We start from the raw sequence: 20,873 nt of genomic DNA, 5'->3' as shown, positions 1-20,873 counted from the left end.
AAAAGCATTTACAAAGCAGTTCTTCCACACTGAAGAGTATCCACTAAGAGTAGGAGTCTGAACTCTGCATTTTCTTTTTGTTCTTGGATGCTTATATCACTGCACTTGATCTTAGCCCAAAGGCCAAGAAGTAATAAATGTTTACATTGCTTTATTATCTTAAATCATAGTTTCTTTGCAAAAATATTTTAAGTCACTTATCTATTTTGTGAGCATTTGTTTAGTAGATAAGGGAATCATAACAGCATTTTCTGGGCCCCCACAGCATGGTGAAAGCTAACCAACAACAAACAAGGGCATCTCAAGCACTGTGCTGTAGAATTCCTCATTCTTCCTTCAGGTTACCTTGGATACGAACCAATCCATATATTAAACTTGACTAAAGCTTCATGTGTTTTTGTTGTTGTTGTTGTTGTTTATTTTTTTTGAAATGGAGCCTCACCTCACTCTGTCACCCAGGCTGGAATACAGTGTCTCACTGCAACCTCCGCCTCCCGGGTTCAAGTGATTTCTCCTGCTTCAGCCTCCCAAGTAGCTGGGACTACAGGCATGTGCCACCACACCTGGCTAATTTTTGTATTTTTAGTAGAGATGGAGTTTAACCATGTTGGCCAGGCTGACATAGAACTCCTGACCTCACCTCGGCCTCCCAAAGGGCTGGGATTACAGGCAAGAGTCACTATGCCCGGCCCAGCTTCATTTTTTTTTTTTTTTTTTTTTTTTTTTTTTCAGACAAGAGTCTCGCTCTGTCACCCAGGCTGGAGTGTAGTAGCGTGATCCTGGTTCACTGCAACCTCTGCCTCCTGGGTTCAAGTAATTCTCTGCCTCAGCCTCCCAAGTAGCTGGGACTACAAGTGCGTATCACCACACCTGGCTAATTTTTGTATTTTTGGTAGAGATGGGGTTTCACCATGTTGTCCAGGCCAGTCGAACTCCTGGCCTCAAGTGATCTGCCCACCTCAGCCTCCCAAAGTGCTAGTATTACAGGTGTGAGCCACCATGCCCCTGGGCTTTTTCTTTTTAAGAATGAAAACAGAATAAATGGAAGCTCTAGTTATAAAGCGAACAGAAGCTTTTTTTCTTTCTTTCTTTCTTTTTTTTTTGGATACGCAGTCTCGCTCTGTTGCCAGGCTAGAGTGCAGTGGCACGATCACAGCTCACTGCAACCTCTGCCTCCCAGGTTCAAGCGATTCTCCTGTCTCAGCCTCCCGAGTAGCTGAGACTAGGTGTGCTCCACCACGCCCAGTTAATTTTTGTATTTTTAGTAGAGATGAGGTTTCACCATGTTGGCCAGGATGGTCTCGATCTCTTGATCTTGTGATCCGCCCACCTCGGCCTCCCAAAGTGCTGGGATTACAGGCGTGAGCCACTGCACCCAGCCAGAACAGAAGCTTTTAGTAAATAAGAGCTCTAATATTTCCTTCCTGCATGCCAATGGATAGTCTTGTACACTCCCAGAGTACACGAACCCTGTTTTGGGGGCACTAGTTTAAGGTTCAAGCAAAATTATATGTGAAACCTTGAATTTCGCTTCATTATCACAGCTGAAATGATTCCCAAAAGACATACTATGCCCCAATGTCTGAACTAGCAATATGGGCAAAAAAAAACAACAACAACAACCCAGAAATAATTTCTTAGAAATCTGCATTTCCCTGTAGTTAAGCAATACTTTCCCTGGTAATAAATCTGAATGAGGCAAGCATAGGCCACCCTGGGGGTGGTAAAAAGATTTCAATTCATGTGCCAAGTTTAGTTGGCAGGTAGCCACTGCCTGGAAAGCTCTGCTGAGAGGATGCCAAGGCCATGTCCAGGGAAATGAAGCAAGATGATCAACAATAATGTTGTGGCTGGTATACGTGCCTACTACTGCTACCACCACGCTAATCAGATCTCAGCCACTTACAGCTTCATCCCACCACGCAGTGCCTTCTACTCATGTTCCACATCGTGCTTTCCATAAACTAGGCTTGACACTGCCTCCTCACCAGGTGGCACTCAAGCTCAGAAGCAGAAGGGGACCCAGGTGGGGACACTTTAATAAGAGCAGTCCGTGATCACAATGAATTGGATGGAACAAACACACTTCGAAATGGCTCTCTCCCACGTGTAACCACACTCAAGAATTTTTTCTCTCTTATGCAGTTATGAAGTGCTATGGACTGGCAAAGAAAGGCAGTGGGTTCTGGTCAGCTCTTACAGTTTGGCTGATGCTCTAGTGAATATGAAACTGTTGATGATCTCTCTTCTTCTTCTTCCTCTTCCTCTTCTTCTTCTTCACTTCCCTTTTCTCTCCATCCTCAAGTTAGCTCAGACTCTAATAGCAAAGTGGATCCAGATTCTAAGATATACATTGGATTCTGAATATACAACTTCATTTGGGGAAAAATTGTGAAAGGAAAATGGATACGTAATACATTCCTTTAGAGGTCATGTTTGGTGGCATTTCCTACGTGGGAATGGGTGGAATAAGCACCACAGAACACTTACGTGGCCATTATGTACATGATTCAAAAAGAAAGCTGAGTCAAGCGTATCATCAAATTACCAGGCATATGACTTACCTCAGAGGCAGTAGGACACAATAGCGCACTATGACGCCCAGCACCCACACCATAGTGAGCCGCAGACTGATGTACTGGAAATTTACATTGGTTCTTGTGAGGAGATTCCATGACACTAGCTCCTCTGAGGAAAACCTCTGGGTCACTTCATCTTCTACAATGGCTTCCAATCCCTTCTTGGAGAAATAAAACACGTCAGACAGCTCAAAGTCCCTTCCTCGTAGACCAGAGAGCCCTTTTTCCATGGGTGACTCATCTCTTTGGATAATACCTTAAAAGAAAGCATCAGGACATGAGAAAATGCCATACGACAGAAGAATTGACCAAAAGGGCAACTTTAACTGTGTAGAAGTTAAATATGCCAAACAAGTAAATAAGTTTAATGGGTGACATCAGCCATCTTCAGAAGTAAGAGACAAACAATTGCAGTGGGAAAAGAGGTGAAATCACTGTGTCTGCATGAAATGGCCTCTACCTCATGATCTTTGTTAATTATAAAGAGGGGTTTTTGGTCCTCCATAATCCTCTTGTTTGGAATTCTTCCCTGCATACCATTAGACAAAGAACTCACACACACACACACACAAAATTCTCCCCAAGTATAACTCTAGATTGTGTAAAAACAAAGACTTCTGTTCTCCCTGACAAAAACCATAAAATCAAAAAGCAAGCAAAATGGCAAAAGATTCACCATAAATGGCAAAAAGTTGATTTTTTTTTTTTTTTTTTTTTTTTTTGAGACGGAGTCTTGCTCCGTCACCCAGGCTGGAGTGCAGTGGCGTGATCTCAGCTTACTGCAAGCTCCGCCTCCCGGGTTCATGCCAATCTCCTGCCTCAGCCTCCCAAGCAGCTGGGACTACAGGCACCCGCCACCACAGTCGGCTAATTTTTTGTATTTTTAATAGAGACAGGGTTTCACCATGTTAGCCAGGATGGTCTCAATCTCCTGACCTCGTGATCTGCCTGCCTCTGCCTCCCAAAGTGCTGGGATTACAGGCGTGAGCCACCACGCCCGGCCGATTTTTTAATATATGAAAATTATTTAATAAGAAAAACACAGCCTCCTGCATAAAAGTAAGCAAAGTTCACAGAAACAACATGAATATTAATAGTTAATATCATACAACTTTTCACTAGTGAAAAAGGAAATGTGAATTAGACAAAGGCCTATTTACAGTATCAAATCAGCAGCATTTTATTCAATGACTTGAAATGACACAGGTACTCTCATATTCAACTTGTACAAGTACGGAAGTAGTAGCAACTTTGTCAAAGTTGGTTTGGCAATGAAAAGACTGAAGATAGTTTTGCTGATGATCAATAACTCCAATTCTAGGAATCTGTCATCAGAAAATAATTAGAAATGTAGGCAAATGTAGGCAAGGGTGTTCACTGTAGCATTCTTCATTACAATTAATCCAAACAATGATATAAAATGCACCCATTAACAAATACTATAATGTTAATCAAGAAAAGACGGAATCTAAAACTATAGTTTCACTCTATGAAATACATATACATAGAAAAAATGTAAAAATGAAAACATTAAGTAGCTATTTCTAGACAATAGGATTAGGTTTTCCTCTCTGTGCTGTTACTGTATTTTCCATCAAGAAAATAATTAAATGATTTTTTAAAGCAGCATAAATTTTTATGAATTGAAAAATGACTACTGTCATTCAATTCTAACTATTAAATACAAAAAATGAGAAAGTCTTCAAAGAATAAAGAGTAGCTATATACACAGTCATATGATCATTCATTGGTTCCTTTGGGGTGTATCACAAAAGGTTACTTCTGACATTAGACTACAAAGAAAAATATTTTCTTTTGAGATAGTAATTAAGATGTTAAATTCCCTGAAAGAAGATCTTTTTTGATCACCTCATTTTCCAGTTTACTAGGAAATCAATGAGGAAAATGGACAGTGCTGTATTACCTATCCCGGAAAGAGTTATACGTGTATTAGTAGAAAGAGCTGTAATAGTTCAGTTTTCGGAAGGACTAATACTACACTAGAGGAGAAAGGAAAGAGGACCTGGAGTCAAAAGCCAAGTCCTGTTTAGGACAACCACCAGCTCCATGACTGATGTCTTTTATAAACTGAGAGAATGGAAACAATTTAGTTTTCTTACAGGGCTAATGTTTTATGATTTTAGGTGTGGGATATATGGGGATTTTGGAGTTTTTGTCCTACATGCAAAGTTTATACCTAGTCACCTTAAGAATTAAAGCAATAGGGGCTTGGCATGGGGGCTTATGCCTGTAATTCCAACACTTTGGGAGGTCAAGGTGAGCGGATCACTTGAGCCCAAGAGTTTGAGACCTACCTGGGCAACATGGTGAAACCTGTCTCCACAAAAAATACAAAAATTAGCTGGACATGGTGGCATGTGCCTGTAGTCCCAGCTACTTGGGAGGCTGAGGCAGGGGGATCACTTGAGCCCAGAAGATGGAGGCTGCAGTGAGCCATGATCATGCCATTGCACTCCAGCCTGGGTGACAAAATGAGATGGAAAGGGAAGAGGAGGGGAGGGGAGGGGAGGGGAGGGGAACAGAGGGGAGGGGCGGGAAGGGAAGGGAAAGGGAGAAAAGAGGGAGAGAAGGAAGGAAGGAAGGAAGGGGAGAGAGAGAAAGAAATAAAAATTAAGAAAGGAAAGAAAGAGAAAGAGAGAAAGAGAGAGAGGGAGGGAGGGAGAAAGAAAGGAAGGAAGGAAGGAAGGAAGGAAGGAAGGAAGGAAGGAAGGAAGGGAAGAAAGAAAGAAAGAAAGAAAGAAAGAAAGAAAGAAAGAAAGAAAGAAAGAAAGAAAGAAAGGGAAAGAAGGAAGGAAGGAAGGAAGGAAGGAAAGAAAGAAAGAAAGAAAGAAAGAAAGAAAGAAAGAAAAGAAAAGAAAAGAAAGAAAGAAAGAAAAGAAAAAAGAAAAAAGAAAAGAAAGAGGGAGGGAGGGAAGGGAGGGAAGGAAGGAAGGAAGGAAAAAAGTAAGTTCTTGAATGATTATTAGGTTCTCTTTTTCAGAAGTCAAGTCTAAGTGGTTTAACCTTTTTTCACCATCTCCAAAAGAGGTTTAATTAGTATTAGAGGATGAACCATGATAGTGTGCCTACTGAATTACCCTTTTGCTCTACAGGCACTGCAATACCACTCAAAGCCCATTACTCAATCTAAGTACTGGCCAGTATTTAGCAGTGCAACAGTTTCATTACAGCAGGAGGGAAGAATACCTTCTTCAGCAAATTTCTGAATGAAATACACTGGGGACAATAGACAGCCTTCCTAAAAATAACCTTTTTCAGAGGGGCCAGAGATAAGAATGCAAGTTCAATTGCCCCATATTATTTGACTGAGCCAAGAGAGAAGAGATCTGCAAACAACGCCAGCCCTCCAGCCCCTACACACTTGTTGTGCAATGTTTTCTCTGCCTTCTTACCTAGTTTATTCTGTGTAACTTAAATAAAATATAACTCAATTTTATATTTTAGTTAAGCATCTTTCAAAAGTATGTAGGTAACTGCAATTTATCTAGCCGACAAAGGATTAATTTCCCAAAGGATTAATTTCCAGAATATATTAAGACATACAAAAAATTAATTTAAAAATGTCAAAGAACTCTGTTTTAAAAATGGCTAAGAATATAGCAAGCAATTCATAAAAGAGTAGCCTTATTGATGAAACATTTGAAAACATGTTCTGCTTCACTATAATGAAAGAAATGCAAACTCAAACCACAGTGAGGCCAGGTATGGTGGCTCACACCTGTAATCCCAGCACTTTGGGAGGCCGAGGTGGGCAGTTCACTTGAGGTCAGGAGTTTGAGACCAGCCTGGCCAACATGGTGAAACCCCGTCTCTACTAAAAATACAAAAAATTAGCCAGGCGTGGCGGCACACGCCTGTAATCCCGGCTACTGGGGAGGCTGAGGCAGTAGAATCACTTGAATCCGGGAGGTGAGGGTTGCAGTGAGCTGAGATTGCACCACTACACTACTCCAGCCTGGGCAACAGAACGAGACCCTGTCTCAAAAAAAAAAAAAAAAAAAAAAAAAAGCCACAATGACATACTCCTTCATACCCATAAGCCTGATAAAGATGTTTAATCTGATAATGTGAAGTACTGGTAAAGATGTGCAAATTCAAACACATTCAGAGCCTATGACCTAGCAATTCCACTTCCCAGGTATAACTTAGGAAGATCTTTTTAAAAAATAATTTCAAACATACAGCGAAGTTGCAACAATAGGTCACTTCACCCAGATTCACTAATTGCCAACATCTTGCCACATTTGCTTTATTGTTCTATCTTTATATGTATATAAAAAAATTTTCCTGAGCCACTTAGAATATGTAGTAAACATCATACCCATTACCCCCAAATACTTCAGCATATGTTTCCTTAGGACACAGAGATTCACTTATTTAACCAAATTGTAATTATCAAAATCAAGGAGGTTGACATTAATGCAATATGAGAATCTAATCTACAGACTTTATTCAAATTCTGACAGTTGTCTCACTAACATGCTTTACAGCAATTTTTTTTTTCTGGTCCAGGATTGCACCTTACATTTACATGTCAAGTCATTTTAGTCTCTTTAAATGTGGAAAGGTTCCTCAGCCTTCCTTTGTCTTTCAAGATACTGACATTTCTTAAAAGTATGAGCTATTTATTTCATAGAGTAGCTCTTAATTTGGATTTGCCTAACGTTTCTTCATGATTAGATGCAGATTGTATACTTTGGGAAGTAATAATACAATGTAAGGAATGTGGTATTCTCAGTGCATCTCATCAGGAGACAGTTGTCATGACTGGTGATGTGTGGCTTTGATCACTTGGCTGAAAGTGGTGCTTCCAGGTTTCTCCATGTAACATTAGTATTTTTTCTCTTTATGATTAATAAGTAAGTACTTATTATGTACAAGCATCTATAAAGGGGAGATACTTTGAGACTACGTAAATAACCTGCTCCCCATGGATATTTAGGATATCAAACTTTGTATATTCAAATTTTCACCCGTGGTATTACCATCTATTGATGACTCTGGCCTTAATGAGTAAGTACTATGTGTCTTTTAAAATGATATTTTCTCACTCCATTGGGCATAGTGGTTCACATCTGTAATCCCAGTACTTTGGGAGGCAGAGGCAGGCGGATCACTTGAGGTCAGGAGTTCGAGACCAGCCTGGCCAACATGCGAAATCCCATCTCTAATAAAAATTTAAAAAATTAGCTGGGCATGGTGCCACACACCTGTAATTCCAGCTACTTGGGAGGCTGAGGCATGAGAATCGCTTGAATCGGGGAAGCAGAGGTTACAATGAGCCAAGATCACACCACTGCACTCCAGCCTGGGTGACAGAGTGGGACTCTGTCTCAAAAGTAAATAAATAAATAAATAAATAAATAAATAAATAAATAAATAAAATGATATTTTCTCACTCCTTCAATCCTTCCACATTTATTATTTGGCATTCCACCTTAACGAGCTTTTTCTCTTATTCTCCAGAGAGATTCTTATAAAACTGTGCACAAGGAGACATATACAAGAACACTTTGCCACATTGTTTGCATTAGCAAAATAGTGGAAACAATCTAAAGTCCATTAAGGAGAGACTAGATAAGAGACTTGATAGATATATACAGTGAATATATATGAGTTAAAATAAATTAGCTAGAACATGTACTAATTTAGATAATTCTGAAACATCAGAATGAGCAAAAGTCAGAATGAACACAAAACGATATGTGGAACACAACATTTTTATCATTTGAATAATGCAAAACAATAAATACTATGTATGAAGGATATATACATATGTAAGGGAAGTATGAAAATACGCATCAAGATAAGCATGAAAGTCAGAGTAGTAGTTCCAAGGAGTAGCAGGGTAAGGGATCAGGAAAGGATACCTAGGAGAATTCCATTGTTTCTGTAATGTTGTATTTATTAAATGAGGTGGCAAGTACACATGTGATATAACCAAAAAATAAAGTGCTACATGGAACTGACAGTTGTCCCTAAGATGAAAATCTGTACTGTAAAAGAGCAGGTACCAGACTATGAGTGCTCTAATATTAGGCACACAATATCTGAAAATGGGTACTATTATAAAATTAGGTGTCAGCCGGGTGCAGTGGCTCATGCCTGTAATCCCAGCACTGTGGGAGGCCGAGGCGGGTGGATCACGAGGTCAGGAGATCGAGACCATCCTGGCTAACACAGTGAAACCCCGTCTCTACTAAAAATACAAAAAAAATTAGCCAGGCGTGGTGGTGGGCACCTGTAGTCCCAGCTGCTGGGGAGGCTGTGGCAGGAGAATGGTGTGAACTCGGGAGGTGGAGCTTGCAGTGAGCCAAGATCGCACCACTGCACTCCAGCCTGGGCGACAGAGCAAGCCTCCCTCTCAAAAAAAATAAATAAATAAAATAAAATTAGGTGTCAAAAGGAGCATGACTGAAAACATAATGTTACTTTCTCCTGAGATATGTTGACTATTGAGGGTCTGAGTTACAGATCCAATTTACCTAAATATAAGCTCTGACAGGAAAAAATATTCAATTCAATCAACATATAGGGAACACTCACTATGCGTTAGGCCTCAAATTACAGATTAGAAAGGAAGAGAGGAAATACTTGTTTTGGCATCAAGAAATGTCCGTTGGCCGGGCGCGGTGGCTCACGCCTGTAATCCCAGCACTTTGGGAGGCCGAGGCGGGCGGATCACGAGGTCAGGAGATCGAGACCATCCTGGCTAACACGGTGAAACCCCACCTCTACTAAAAATACAAAAAATTAGACTGGCGAGGTGGCGGGCGCCTGTAGTCCCAGCTACTTGGGAGGCTGAGGCAGGAGAATGGCGTGAACCCCAGGGGGCGGAGCCTGCAGTGAGCCGAGATCGCGCCACTGCACTCCGGCCTGGGCGATAGCGAGACTCCGTCTCAAAAAAAAAAAAACAAAAAAAAAAAAAAGAAAGAAATGTTCGGGAGTAGACCAAAAGTCTTCAAAATACATAGAAATAAACACATATCAGATTAGCTGACACAGATTCAATTATTACATTAGTTTTGTTATCATTAAAGCAATCTCATTATTTTTAATAAGTTAATCCTGATCCTTCAAAGCAGCCCACAGTTCTTAAATTGGTAAAACTCTAATTCTAAAAAAAAAAAAAAAAAAAAAAAAAAAAAAAAAAAAAAAAAAAAAAAAAAAAATTCATTTTACTTTACAAGTCAGCTTTAAAAGGGTAAAGCCATAAACGTTTGAACTTTGTTCTTACACCAAATGCTTTCACCAAGCCAACACAGTCCATGCTTGGATGAAGATAAAATTACAACTGTCTATCTCACACAAGCGATTAATTGCACAAGCTGCCCTGTGCCCCTGTGCCTTTAGCAAGTCACTTGTACATAAATAATACCAGATACGAAAGGCCTGTGGAAATGAAGGCAGAAGTTGAAACCATCTCAAACATAATTAACTCTAAATTAGCTGAGTGAACTCTTAGAATAACAGTCCATTTATAAATCACACTAGTTTTTCTGTCCTCCAGTTGTAAAGCAAACTTCCTAAGCAAGCAGTTAAGAAAATCAGGGTCTACTGCAGACCAAAGAAGATACAGTAGCTTATATACAGAAGTAGACCCTTAATCTACCAATGGCCTGTGTTCCAAACACAGCAGCAAAACCTTCAGCATTCAAAACACTTTCTCATGGAAGCCTTGATTGAAGTGGTCTGTGTGAGCAAGAACCCCACCCAGTCATAAGCCTAACTCACTTAAAAACAGGTGATCACAGATTAGTAATAGCATGAAATAGAAAGTCTCTCTTAACACTGTTTCTATAGGAAATGTTTTAATTAAATCTAGTTTGGAATTGACAAAAATATAGTCCTAAATCCCATAGAGACTGGAAGGGGGCCTTGGGGGAATGTTCTGGGGTACTGGTAATGTTCAATTTATTGACCTAGATGAGAGGTATACAAGCAAGTTCATTTTAGAAAATGCATGAAGTTGTATACTTATTTCACACTCCTGTCTATGTATGCTATTATTTTAAAATTGGGCAGGGAGGAGTTTACCTGTTCCAGCACCAATTATTGGTGGTAGTGTCCTTTTCCTGGCATGAGAAGCTCCTCTGAGGGGCTCAGATCCTTGGCAAAGAAGCCAGGCCTAGATCCTTCCCTACCATCTCCAACTTCCTTCCTGACCCATAAATGTGATTAGTGTGATTAAAGAAGAGACCACGATAAGGTAGTATAATGACCAACTGTATGTATACATTGGGGAATGAGATGGACCAGTATTACTGGGATTAAAGAACAGAAATATTCAATGTCAAGGAAGAGGCCTGGCCCATGCTCAAGCAATCACCTAGATGTAAAGACTAAAAAGATCATTAAGGCCAGGTGCAGTGGCTCATGCCTGTAATCCTAGCACTTTGGGAGGCTGAGGTGGGCAGATCACCTGAGGTGAGGCACTTGGACCCAGCCTGGCCAATATAGTGAAACCCCATCTCTACTAAAAATACAAAAATTAGCCAGGCATAGTGGCAAGCACCTGTAGTCCCAGCTACTCAGGAGGCTGAGGTAGGGAATCACTTGAACACAGGAAGAGGAGGTTGCAGTGAACCAAACCAAGATCACGCCACTGCACTCCAGCCTGGGTGACAGAGTGAAACTCCATCTCAAAATAAATAAATAAATAAAATAAAATAAAAGATCATTATACCATCTTAACAAGCTAGTACCAAGGACAGATCCCAGGAATATACAACTGATCTCCATCTTGTCCTTCTACAGTTCATTAATCACTAGATATGTTAATATGTTAATTACTGCATCAACAACATAGTCACCTAACTGCACAGATTTCCAGTCCACGTTTTGCCACCTTTTCTCACAATAACGTAGCTGTAACACTGCAAGGCTAACCTCTAGATATACCAAATCCAAACCATTCCCTAAGCCATTAGTTAAGTTAAGATTTCCAGGACGTAAGTTAGGCCACTTGGCTAAGCTCATTTCACAGCGACTCCTTTGTGATCCTGATTATCACTGCTTCCCTTCCCAAACATTTTTAAATTTTTATATTGTTATTAATTTAGTTAAGCGTAATAATGGCATTAGGGTTATATTTTTCAAAAAGTCTATTTTTTGAGGTGTGTCCTGAAGTATGTAAAAGGATATGATATCTGGAATTAACTTTAAAATACTTTCATAAAAGGATATACATGAAGATGAGACTATGGTATTTCTAATTACTTATTGGTGTTCTCTACCTTTCTACATTGCTCATATATTGCTTCTGTAATTAATTTTTTTAATTGAAAAATACTTACACAAAGGAAAACCTGAAAAAAAAGAATAGATGTAGCAAATTCTTGATAACTGTTGAATTTGGGTGATGGGTATAAGGTGACTAATTGTACTATTCTTTCTACTTTTAAAAAATTAATACTATGCTTAAAAATGCACTTAAGAAATTTGTTGGAGATATCAGCTTAGCTGAGGATCAATTTCCTCATCTAAATTTTAATAAACCATTTGCTCATTCATTCAGTTAGTCAATATATAAAGAGTGACAGGCACCAGACAAGATACTAAGTTATAAGGGAAAGGGAGAGAAAAGGGTTGAGCTAACTCAGTGGTTCTCAAGCTTGGCTGCATTCCATAATTCTCTGTGGAATCTTTTAAAAAACAGACACCAGGGCCCACTCCCAGATATATTAAACTAAAATGTCAGCTACATTTTAAAATATATATATGAAGCCAAGCGCAGTGGCTCACATCTGTAATCCCAGCACTTTGGGAGGACAACGGGGGTGGATTACCTGAGGTCAGGAGTCTGAGACCAGCCTGGCCAACATAGTGAAACCCCCGTCTCTACAAAAAACACAAAAATTAGTCAGTGTGATGGCAGGCACCTGTACTCACAGCTACTTGGGAGGCTGACACAGGAGAATTGCTTGAACCCGGGAGGCAGAGATTGCAGTGAGCCGAGATGGCACCACTGCACTCCAGCCTGGATAAAAGAGGGAGACTCCATCTCAAACAACAACAACAAAACTATATATGTGTATATACACATATATATATATGCGTGTATATATATATATGTGTGTGTATATATATGTGTGTGTGTATATATATATATACACATATATATATGAGTGGGGGAAAACTATAAGGAAATACATTAAAATATTAGGCTTTTTCTGATTAATAAGTATTTCATATGGCTGATTTTTAACTTATTTATACTTCTGCAATGTCTAATTTTTCAACAAAGTATATATACTTTGTTGAAAAATACTTACATTGAGAAAAATACTTAAGATGTTATTTTTAAAACTATAATGAGATACTACTACATACCCACAAAAATGGCTAAAATTTTAAAAGGCCAAAAATACCAAGTGCTGGAGATGCTAGGGACCAACTGGAACTCTCAAACTTTGCTGCTGAGAGTGCACAAACATTTTAGAATACCATGTAGCAGTTTCTAATAAAGTTCAACAAATACTTGCTTACCCTATGGCACAGACAGTCATAAGAATGTCTGTACAATGTTTATAGCAGCTTTATTCCTAATGGCTAAAAACTGGAACTAACCCAATTATCAATCGACATTATAATAAATAAACAAACTATTGGTATTATATAAAGGAATACTCCATAGCAATTATTTTTAAAAATCCACTGATTCATGCAACATGGAGAAATCTCACAACTATTATACAGAGTGGGAACAAAAACAGACACAAAGAATATATAATGTATGATTTCATTTATGTAAATGTCAAAAACAGTAAAAACAGACGATGACAGAAATCAGAAGAGAGAGTACCACTGGGACTGAGAGATGAAGGGCAGATACTGAGCAGGGGCTTAAGAGAACTTTGAGATCATAAATGTGTTCTTTAGCTCGATTGGGGTAATCACATGAGCCTACAAATATGTAAAAAATCATGTATCTGAACACTGAATATGTGCATTGTAACAGATGCAAATTATACCTCAATTTTTTTTTAATCAGAAAAAAAAGATTACCTTTAAGAGTTCTCCCAAGCTGGGCACAGTGGCTCACGCCTGTAATCCCAACACTTTGGGAGGCCAAGGCGGGTGGATCACCTGAGATCAGGAGTTCGAGACCACCCTGGCCAACATAGTAAAACCCTGTCTCCACTAAAAATATGAAAATTAGCCAGGCATGGTGGTGCACATCTGTAGTGCCGGCTACTCAGGAGGCTGAGGCAGGAGAATCACTTGAACCCAGGAGGCGGAGGTTGCAGTGAGCCGAGATCGTGCCGCTGCACTCCAGCCTGAGTGACTGAGCAAGACTCCGTCTCAAAAAAAAAAAAAAAAAAAGAGTTCTCCCAAATTTCTAGCTATAGTTTCAATTAAAGGCTCTAGCCAATCCTATCTTCCCATGTATATTTTAAAATCTTCCTTCCTAAACTAAAAGGCAGCTGACATTGACTGAGTGTCTCCTGATGCCAGGCTGTATATAAAACCCTTGACACCTACACTTTTGTAGTCTTCGCAATCCTATGAGGTATTCTGTATTATCTCCAACTTATACATGAGGAAATTAAAGTGCAGAGGGGTTGAGTAACTTGCCTGGGGCCAGAGAGAAGAAGGAACTGAGACAGGATTTGCAACCAAGTCGGTGACTCCAAAACCAAGTGCTTCCTCATATGTTATTGCCTCAAGTTTCACATCGCTCTAACCAATACCTGCCCACTGACGAATCCCAAATATGTAAGATATTTCTCGTCAATACAACACCACCCCCAGTTCTTCCTTGCTAAACAGAAAGCCCTGAGTAGCAGCTCTTCCTAGCATTTCTCCTACCTTTGAGGGAAGAAAGATAACTTTAATTGATACAAGAAAATCTATATATGGCCCCTATCTAACATTAATCTAGACATGCACTTACAATTCACTTACACGTGATCATTCTTCCCAGAAAGTTGTGACACAATTCACCCTTTTTTTTTTAACTGAGGCAGGAATCTTTTACAGCTTGGAACCCACTTAAATTCCTCTCATTTAGAATCTCTGGGCCATCCTACAATAAGCCAAACAAACAAACAAACAAAACCATGCCCTGGGCAGTGGTGCACCAAGTGGTCCCCAGTGCTGTAGTTCAGCCAGGTCCACGTTGTCCAAGGAGACCGTTCTGCCCTCTGCTAAGACTCTGTAACATCAGTGCACAGGCATCCTGCCAGTATCCTTACTCTTCAAGGCCTCTACACGGCAGAAGCAGCTTCCCTACACATCTCACAGATGACATAGTCAAGGTTTAGAAAGGATAATCCCCCTTGATTTGTTGTTGGTGTTATTGTTCTTAGATATATTCTCACACCTTCTACCATTTTTACATCTTTATTAACCTGGACCGTCAGCCAGGCAAGGTTTATAGAAAATGGTCTCTCTTTTTTGGTCCAAAGAGCCAAGCAGCCCTGCTATATTCTTCTCAGTCATCACTCCAGGTTTCAGTTCAAGGTCTTTGAGCAAAAGACAGATTGACCATGAAGCCAGTAAGGTTAAACTTCAGGGTCCAAACTTGCATAGGCTCCTTCCAAGGTCCTGTACTTACTTTTGCATGGATCACTTTGTATTCCTTATTAAAGAAGGCCTCTAAATTGCATAAGCTTTAAGCCCCCACAAGACCTGGACTTGCCCCTACCTCTGAATAACATTATCATTTTGTTGATACAAACAACAGATCTATGTTAAACCATTCACCTTACAAATGAAGCTGATTTAGGAGAAATACTTAAGATGAGAGAACCAACTGATTACCAGTAAGCATTAGAACACTGGGAGGTCACAGACACACATAACATCTTTCCACTTAATTTCACATATTATGAATAGTATTTTATCTATTTAATGGTTACATTAGCAATGTACTAGTAAGAGAGGTTGCTCCTTGTTAGGCAGTTTTGTGGTTATTTTAAGGTTTTAAGTTTCTCAGTTATTGGAAGTGGGGGAATTGAAGAGGATGACAAATGAAAAATGTGAATACAGGCCGGGCGTGGTGGCTCATACCTGTAATCCCAGCACTTTGGAGGCTGAGGTGGGTGGATCACCTGTCAGGAGATCGAGCCTATCCTGGTTAACATGGTGAAACCCCGTCTCTAGTAAAAATACAAAAAGTTGGCCGGGTGTGGTGGCGGGTGCCTGTAGTCCCAGCTACCCCGGACGCTGAAGCAGAAGAATGGCGTGAATCTGGGAGGCGGAGCTTGCAATGAGCCTAGATCGCGCCACAGCACTCCAGCCTGGGCAACAGAGCGAGACTCCGTCTCAAAAAAAAAAAAAAAGTGAATACAAATGAAAAGTTAAAAAACACTACATAAAAGTTTCACAGGTTTCCTGGTAGCAATAACCCTGCCTTAGAAGAAATAGATTATGATATACCATACAATAGGTCCATAAAATGAAAAGGGGAAGAAGTCATCACAACTATGATGACCTTTAATATACATGAAATGTGCTCAAAATAAATGCATCTCCTTTGGTTTTCCTAAGCGCTACTCAATCATGATGACTCAATCACAATTGCCTATTTTAAAAAAAAGCATTCGAGTTATGAAACTACTCACGCTCCCCCTAGTAACATGGCCTGGGTTGGCACATTTAAAGATACAAGTTACAATCAATTTTTTTTTAATGTGAAACAGGGTAAAGTTTACTTTAAGCACCTGCACACCCCACTACTTAATCCAATTAAGAAAAATAAAATAAGGGCAGGAGAGAAAGCCCACATATAATACAAAATAAAAATGTGCAAAGAAAAAAACAGAAAATCATAAAAATCATAAGAAAGAATTCTACACAAAGTCTTCTGCAAATAACTTTAATGAAAATCTGGGTAAACAGATAATTTTCTATTTAAAAAAAAAGTTGCTCAAAGCTTTACTGACACCAAGAGATGAACATGCTAAAGAGAACCATTTGCACAGATGAAATAATGTTGCAGGCAGCAAAAAAATACCTACATATGCACCCCTAACCAACCAATAAGCACCAGACCCAGGCTTTTTTTGTTGTTGTTGTTTTCAAATAGAGACAGGATTTTGCCATGTTGCCCAGGCTGGTCTTGAACTCCCGAGCTCAATGATCCACCCGCCTCAGCCTCCCAAAGTGCTAGGATTACAGGCATAAGCCACCACTCCTGGCCCAGACCTTTTTTTAAGGAATTCTACCAAACATTTAAACTGACAAGGGAAGGAGAAATAAAGGAAGATAGGTAAGTAATACACTAATCACAAGTATAAGAATCAACTGTAAAAATCCTAACTTCAATTTTGGCAGACAACTTCCAGCATCATATTATGACCAGGTAATGTTTATTCCATAAATGCAAAGACAATTCAAATATTTTTAAAGTTATTAATAAAATTCACTACAATGGGTCTAAGAGGGGTAATCTATCTTCACCATCAGACATGCCTTAAAAGCATGAAAATTCAACATTCACTCTTAATTTAAAGTAACAAAACAAGAATCAGCAACTATTTAACATGAGATGGAAAAATAGATCAAAGTTGACATGATCTTTATTGGGAAGACCCTAAAGGCACTGAAGACCATCCACATAGAAATGCCAACTTGCCAACTAGCACCACTACTGTTTAGCACTGCAGGGAGTATCAGCCAGCACAACCAGACAAGAGAAAAAAAATGAAGTACAAACTAGGAAAGAAATAAAATGCAAACCAAAGTTGAATAAGAAATGGCAAGCCTATCAATATCTGAAGATAAAATAATTATATATCTGAACAAAAGGAAATTCCTGAAAAACCATATACAGTATGAGAATTCTTAATTTTATATTCTTCTACCTTACTAAAGTAGAAAATTTTCCTATACATGAACAACAATTATTTAGAAAATATAATGGAAGAACACACCTTATTTATAATAGCAACTAAAATATAAAACTAAGAGGAAATGTGCAATACCTATCTGAGGAAAATTTTAGAACATCTCTTAAGGATACAAAAGAAAACCTAACAAATGGGGAAAAAAAAAAAAGAAAAGCTAAACAAATGGGGGAAAAAAAAAGAAAATCTAAACAAATGGAAAGATATAATGTCCTCAGAAAGTAAGACCCAACATAGATAATGTCAAACCTTCCTCAATAAATTTACAAACTTAATACAACTCCAATAAAAATGGGTTGTTGTATTTCCTTGTATCATAGAAAGCTGAATCTCAAGATCATATGGAAAAATAAGTAAACAAGAATAAATAGGAGGCCGGGCGTAGTGGCTCACACCTGTAATCCCAGCACTTTGGGAGGCTGAGACGGGTGGATCACTTAAGGTCACGACTTCCAGATCAGCCTGGCCAACCTGGTGAAACCCTGTCTCTATTAAAAATAATAATAATAATAATAATAATAATAAATTAATTAATTTTTTAAAAAAAAGAATAAATAGGAAAAGCAATAAGAACAACTATTTCTACCAGACACTAAAACAACTATTGGCCAGGTTTGGTGGCTCACGCCTATAATCCCAGTACTTTGGGAGGCCCAGGCAGGTGGGTCACCTGAGGTCAGGAGTTCCAGACCAGCCTGGTCAACATGGTGAAATGCCGTCTCTACAAAAATACAAAAATGTGGGAAAGAGAGTTTCTGGGATGCCAGATGAGTTGGTCTCCCATGTGTGAGACAGCCATGGGGAGCCATGGGTGGCCTCTGAGGAGAAAAGTCTCCTTATTGCCTTCATGTCTTTATGCCCTGAGAGCATAACAGCTCGGCGGCATTCCACAGGTTGCTCGGGGAAATAACACTCCCTTGAAGCAGTGGAGTATAATCAAACATCTTGGTTTCTCCTGAAACCCACTCCCACCCATGTCAGTTAAAGATCTTAGGTAGTTTAGACACACGCCTTTGCTCGAGGAAACTCACAGAGTTCTCCTTCACTGATGAATCCTTTTCTTCATCCCTTCCTACCCCTCCCATTTGCCCTAAGAACAAAGCGCTTGTAAACCAACAAATTGGGTGGAGGCCGAGAGCTCGGGGCATGAGCAAGCCTCCGACGCTCCGGTCCCCTGGACCCGCCTTTTAAACTCTTATTTTGTCTCTTTCTAATTCCTTTGTCTCCGCCGGACTCGGGGTACCCACCGGGTGGTGTGGGGCTGGTTTCCCCAACACAAAAATTAGCCTGGCATGATGGCAGGTGCCTGTAATCCCAGCTACTAGGGAGGCTGAGGCAGAATTGCTTGAGCCCTAGAGGCGGAGGTTGTGGTGAGCCGAGAGCGCACCACTGCACTCCACCCTGGGTGACAGAGCGAGATTCTGTCTCAAAAAAACAAACAAAAAAAAATCAATAATTAAGATAATATGATAACAGTGCATGAGAAGACAAGTACACAAATGAAATAAAATAGCTCAGAAACAGATCCAAATGTATAAACTGGAGGCTGGGCGTGGTGGCTCACACCTGTAACCCCAGCAATTTGGGAGGCTGAGATGGGAGGATCACTTGAGGTCAGGAGTTCGAGACCAGCCCGGTCAACATGGTGAAACCCCATCTCTACTAAAAATACAAAAATTAGCCAGGCATAGTGGTGGGCACCTGTAATCCCAGCTACTTGGGAGGCTGAGGCAGGAGAATCACTTGAACCCAGGAGGCAGAGGTTGCAGTGAGTTGAGATTGCGCCACTGTGCTCCAGCCTGGGCAACACAGCAAGACTCCATCTCAAAAAAATAAAATAAATAAATAAATAAATACATATAATGGAATTCTGGAAATTATTGAAGATGCGTCTCAAATCAGTTGGTTAAAGATTTTTTTCACAGAGTGTTGCGACAACTAGATAGACATCTGGAAAGACACACAAGAATAAATGAATCAAAGATTTTAACATAAAAAATAAAACCATAAAAGTAATCAAAGAAAACTTTGGAGAATTCCCTTAAAACTTGGCAGAGGAAAAAAAATGTTTCTACTAAATCCAGAAGTTAGAAAAAGAAAATATTGATAAATTAGACTATATATAAATGAAAAATGTCTGCACAGTAAGAAGTATGATAAGCAGAGGTAAAAATACAAATTGCAAACTGAAACAAATATTTGTCTCTCACCACAGACAAAAGCTAATCCTTTTTTTTTCTTTTTTTGTGACAGAGTCTTGCTCTGTTGCCCAGGCTAGAGTTCGGTGGTGTGATCGCAGCTCACTGTAGCCACAACCACCTGAGCTCCTGTGATCCACCCACCTCAGCTTGCCAAGTAGCCGGGACCGCAGGTATGCACCACCACACCTGGCTAATTTTTTGAGTTTTTGTAGAGAGAAGGTCTTGCTATGTTGTCCAGGCTGGTCTTGAACTCCTGGGGTCTAGCTATCCTCCCGCCTCAGCCTCCCAAACTGCTAGGATTATGGGCATGAACTACTACACCCACCATTAATCATTTTAATACATGAGAAGGTCCTAGAAAACAAACAGGATAGCCTGACAGAATAATGGTCAAAAAACATGAGTAGATAGTTCCCAGAAAAATTAATGCAACTGACCCTTAAACATGAAAACATGTTCAAATGTTTTATCAGAGAAATACTAATTAGAACCAAACCGCATTTCCACTTCTTGTCTATTGGTTTGGCACAAATCCAAAAGTTAGACATATATTTACAACATTGGTGAAGCTGTGGGGAGACAGGCACTTGCATACACTCCTAGTGGGAACTCATAGCCCCACTAGCCTCCATAATAGAGGCCATTATGGAGGGCAGTTTGACACTATCAATCCAAATCACACATGTTCTCTGACAGAGCAATCCTATTGCTAAGAATTCATGTTACAGATATATTTACTTCAGCATCATTTTTTAAGCAGCAAAGGTTGGGAACCACAGGTAAATTGAACTATTTGCATTCATATAATGAAACTTCTTACAACTCTTAAAAAAGAAGAAACTTTCTAAGTAATAATAGAGAAAGGTTTATGGGATATATTATAAGTGAAGAACACAAGGCTCAGAATACTGTTTATAGGACATCATGTTTGGTGTTAGCAAGTCAAGAAAATAATAAACACTTGGCCGGGTACAGTGGCTCATGCCTGTAATCCTAACACTTTGGGAGGCCAAGGCGGGTGGGTCACCTGAAGTCAGGAGTTCGAGACCAGCCTGGCCAACATAGCAAAACCCATCTCTACTAAAAACACAAAAATTAGCTGGGTGTGGTGGTGCATGCCTGCAATCCCAACTATTCAGGAGCCTAAGGCAGGAGAATCGCTTGGACCTGGGAGGAGGAGGCTGCAGTGATCTGAGATCGCACCATTGCATTCCAGCCTG

At 39.7% G+C, this 20,873-nt stretch overlaps 1 protein-coding gene across 6 annotated transcripts in view, besides 1 other annotated feature; it reads right to left on the bottom strand.

Moving 5' to 3' along the window:
- Window positions 1-20,873, bottom strand: part of GPAT3 (glycerol-3-phosphate acyltransferase 3) — a 70,289-nt gene that overhangs the window by 21,479 nt on the left and 27,937 nt on the right. For all 6 annotated transcript variants that reach the window (XM_017008780.2, NM_001256422.1, NM_001256421.1 and 3 more), the window contains one exon: window positions 2,565-2,835. In XM_017008780.2, coding sequence (XP_016864269.1) covers window positions 2,565-2,835 — 271 coding nt within the window. The remainder of the gene's footprint in view (window positions 1-2,564; window positions 2,836-20,873) is intronic.
- Window positions 1,567-1,861: a silencer, noted in NCBI's record as "tiled region #7334; HepG2 Repressive non-DNase unmatched - State 24:Quies". NCBI's record gives its function as "represses a minimal TATA promoter and a strong SV40 promoter by Sharpr-MPRA in HepG2 cells {active_cell/tissue: HepG2}" and the evidence as "EXISTENCE:reporter gene assay evidence [ECO:0000049][PMID:27701403]".

The sequence above is a fragment of the Homo sapiens genome, chromosome 4 (genome assembly GCF_000001405.40).
Source record: "Homo sapiens chromosome 4, GRCh38.p14 Primary Assembly".
NCBI lineage: Eukaryota > Metazoa > Chordata > Mammalia > Primates > Hominidae > Homo > Homo sapiens.
Note: the sequence above shows the minus strand (reverse complement) of the source record. Positions and strands in the feature narration are given on the sequence as shown.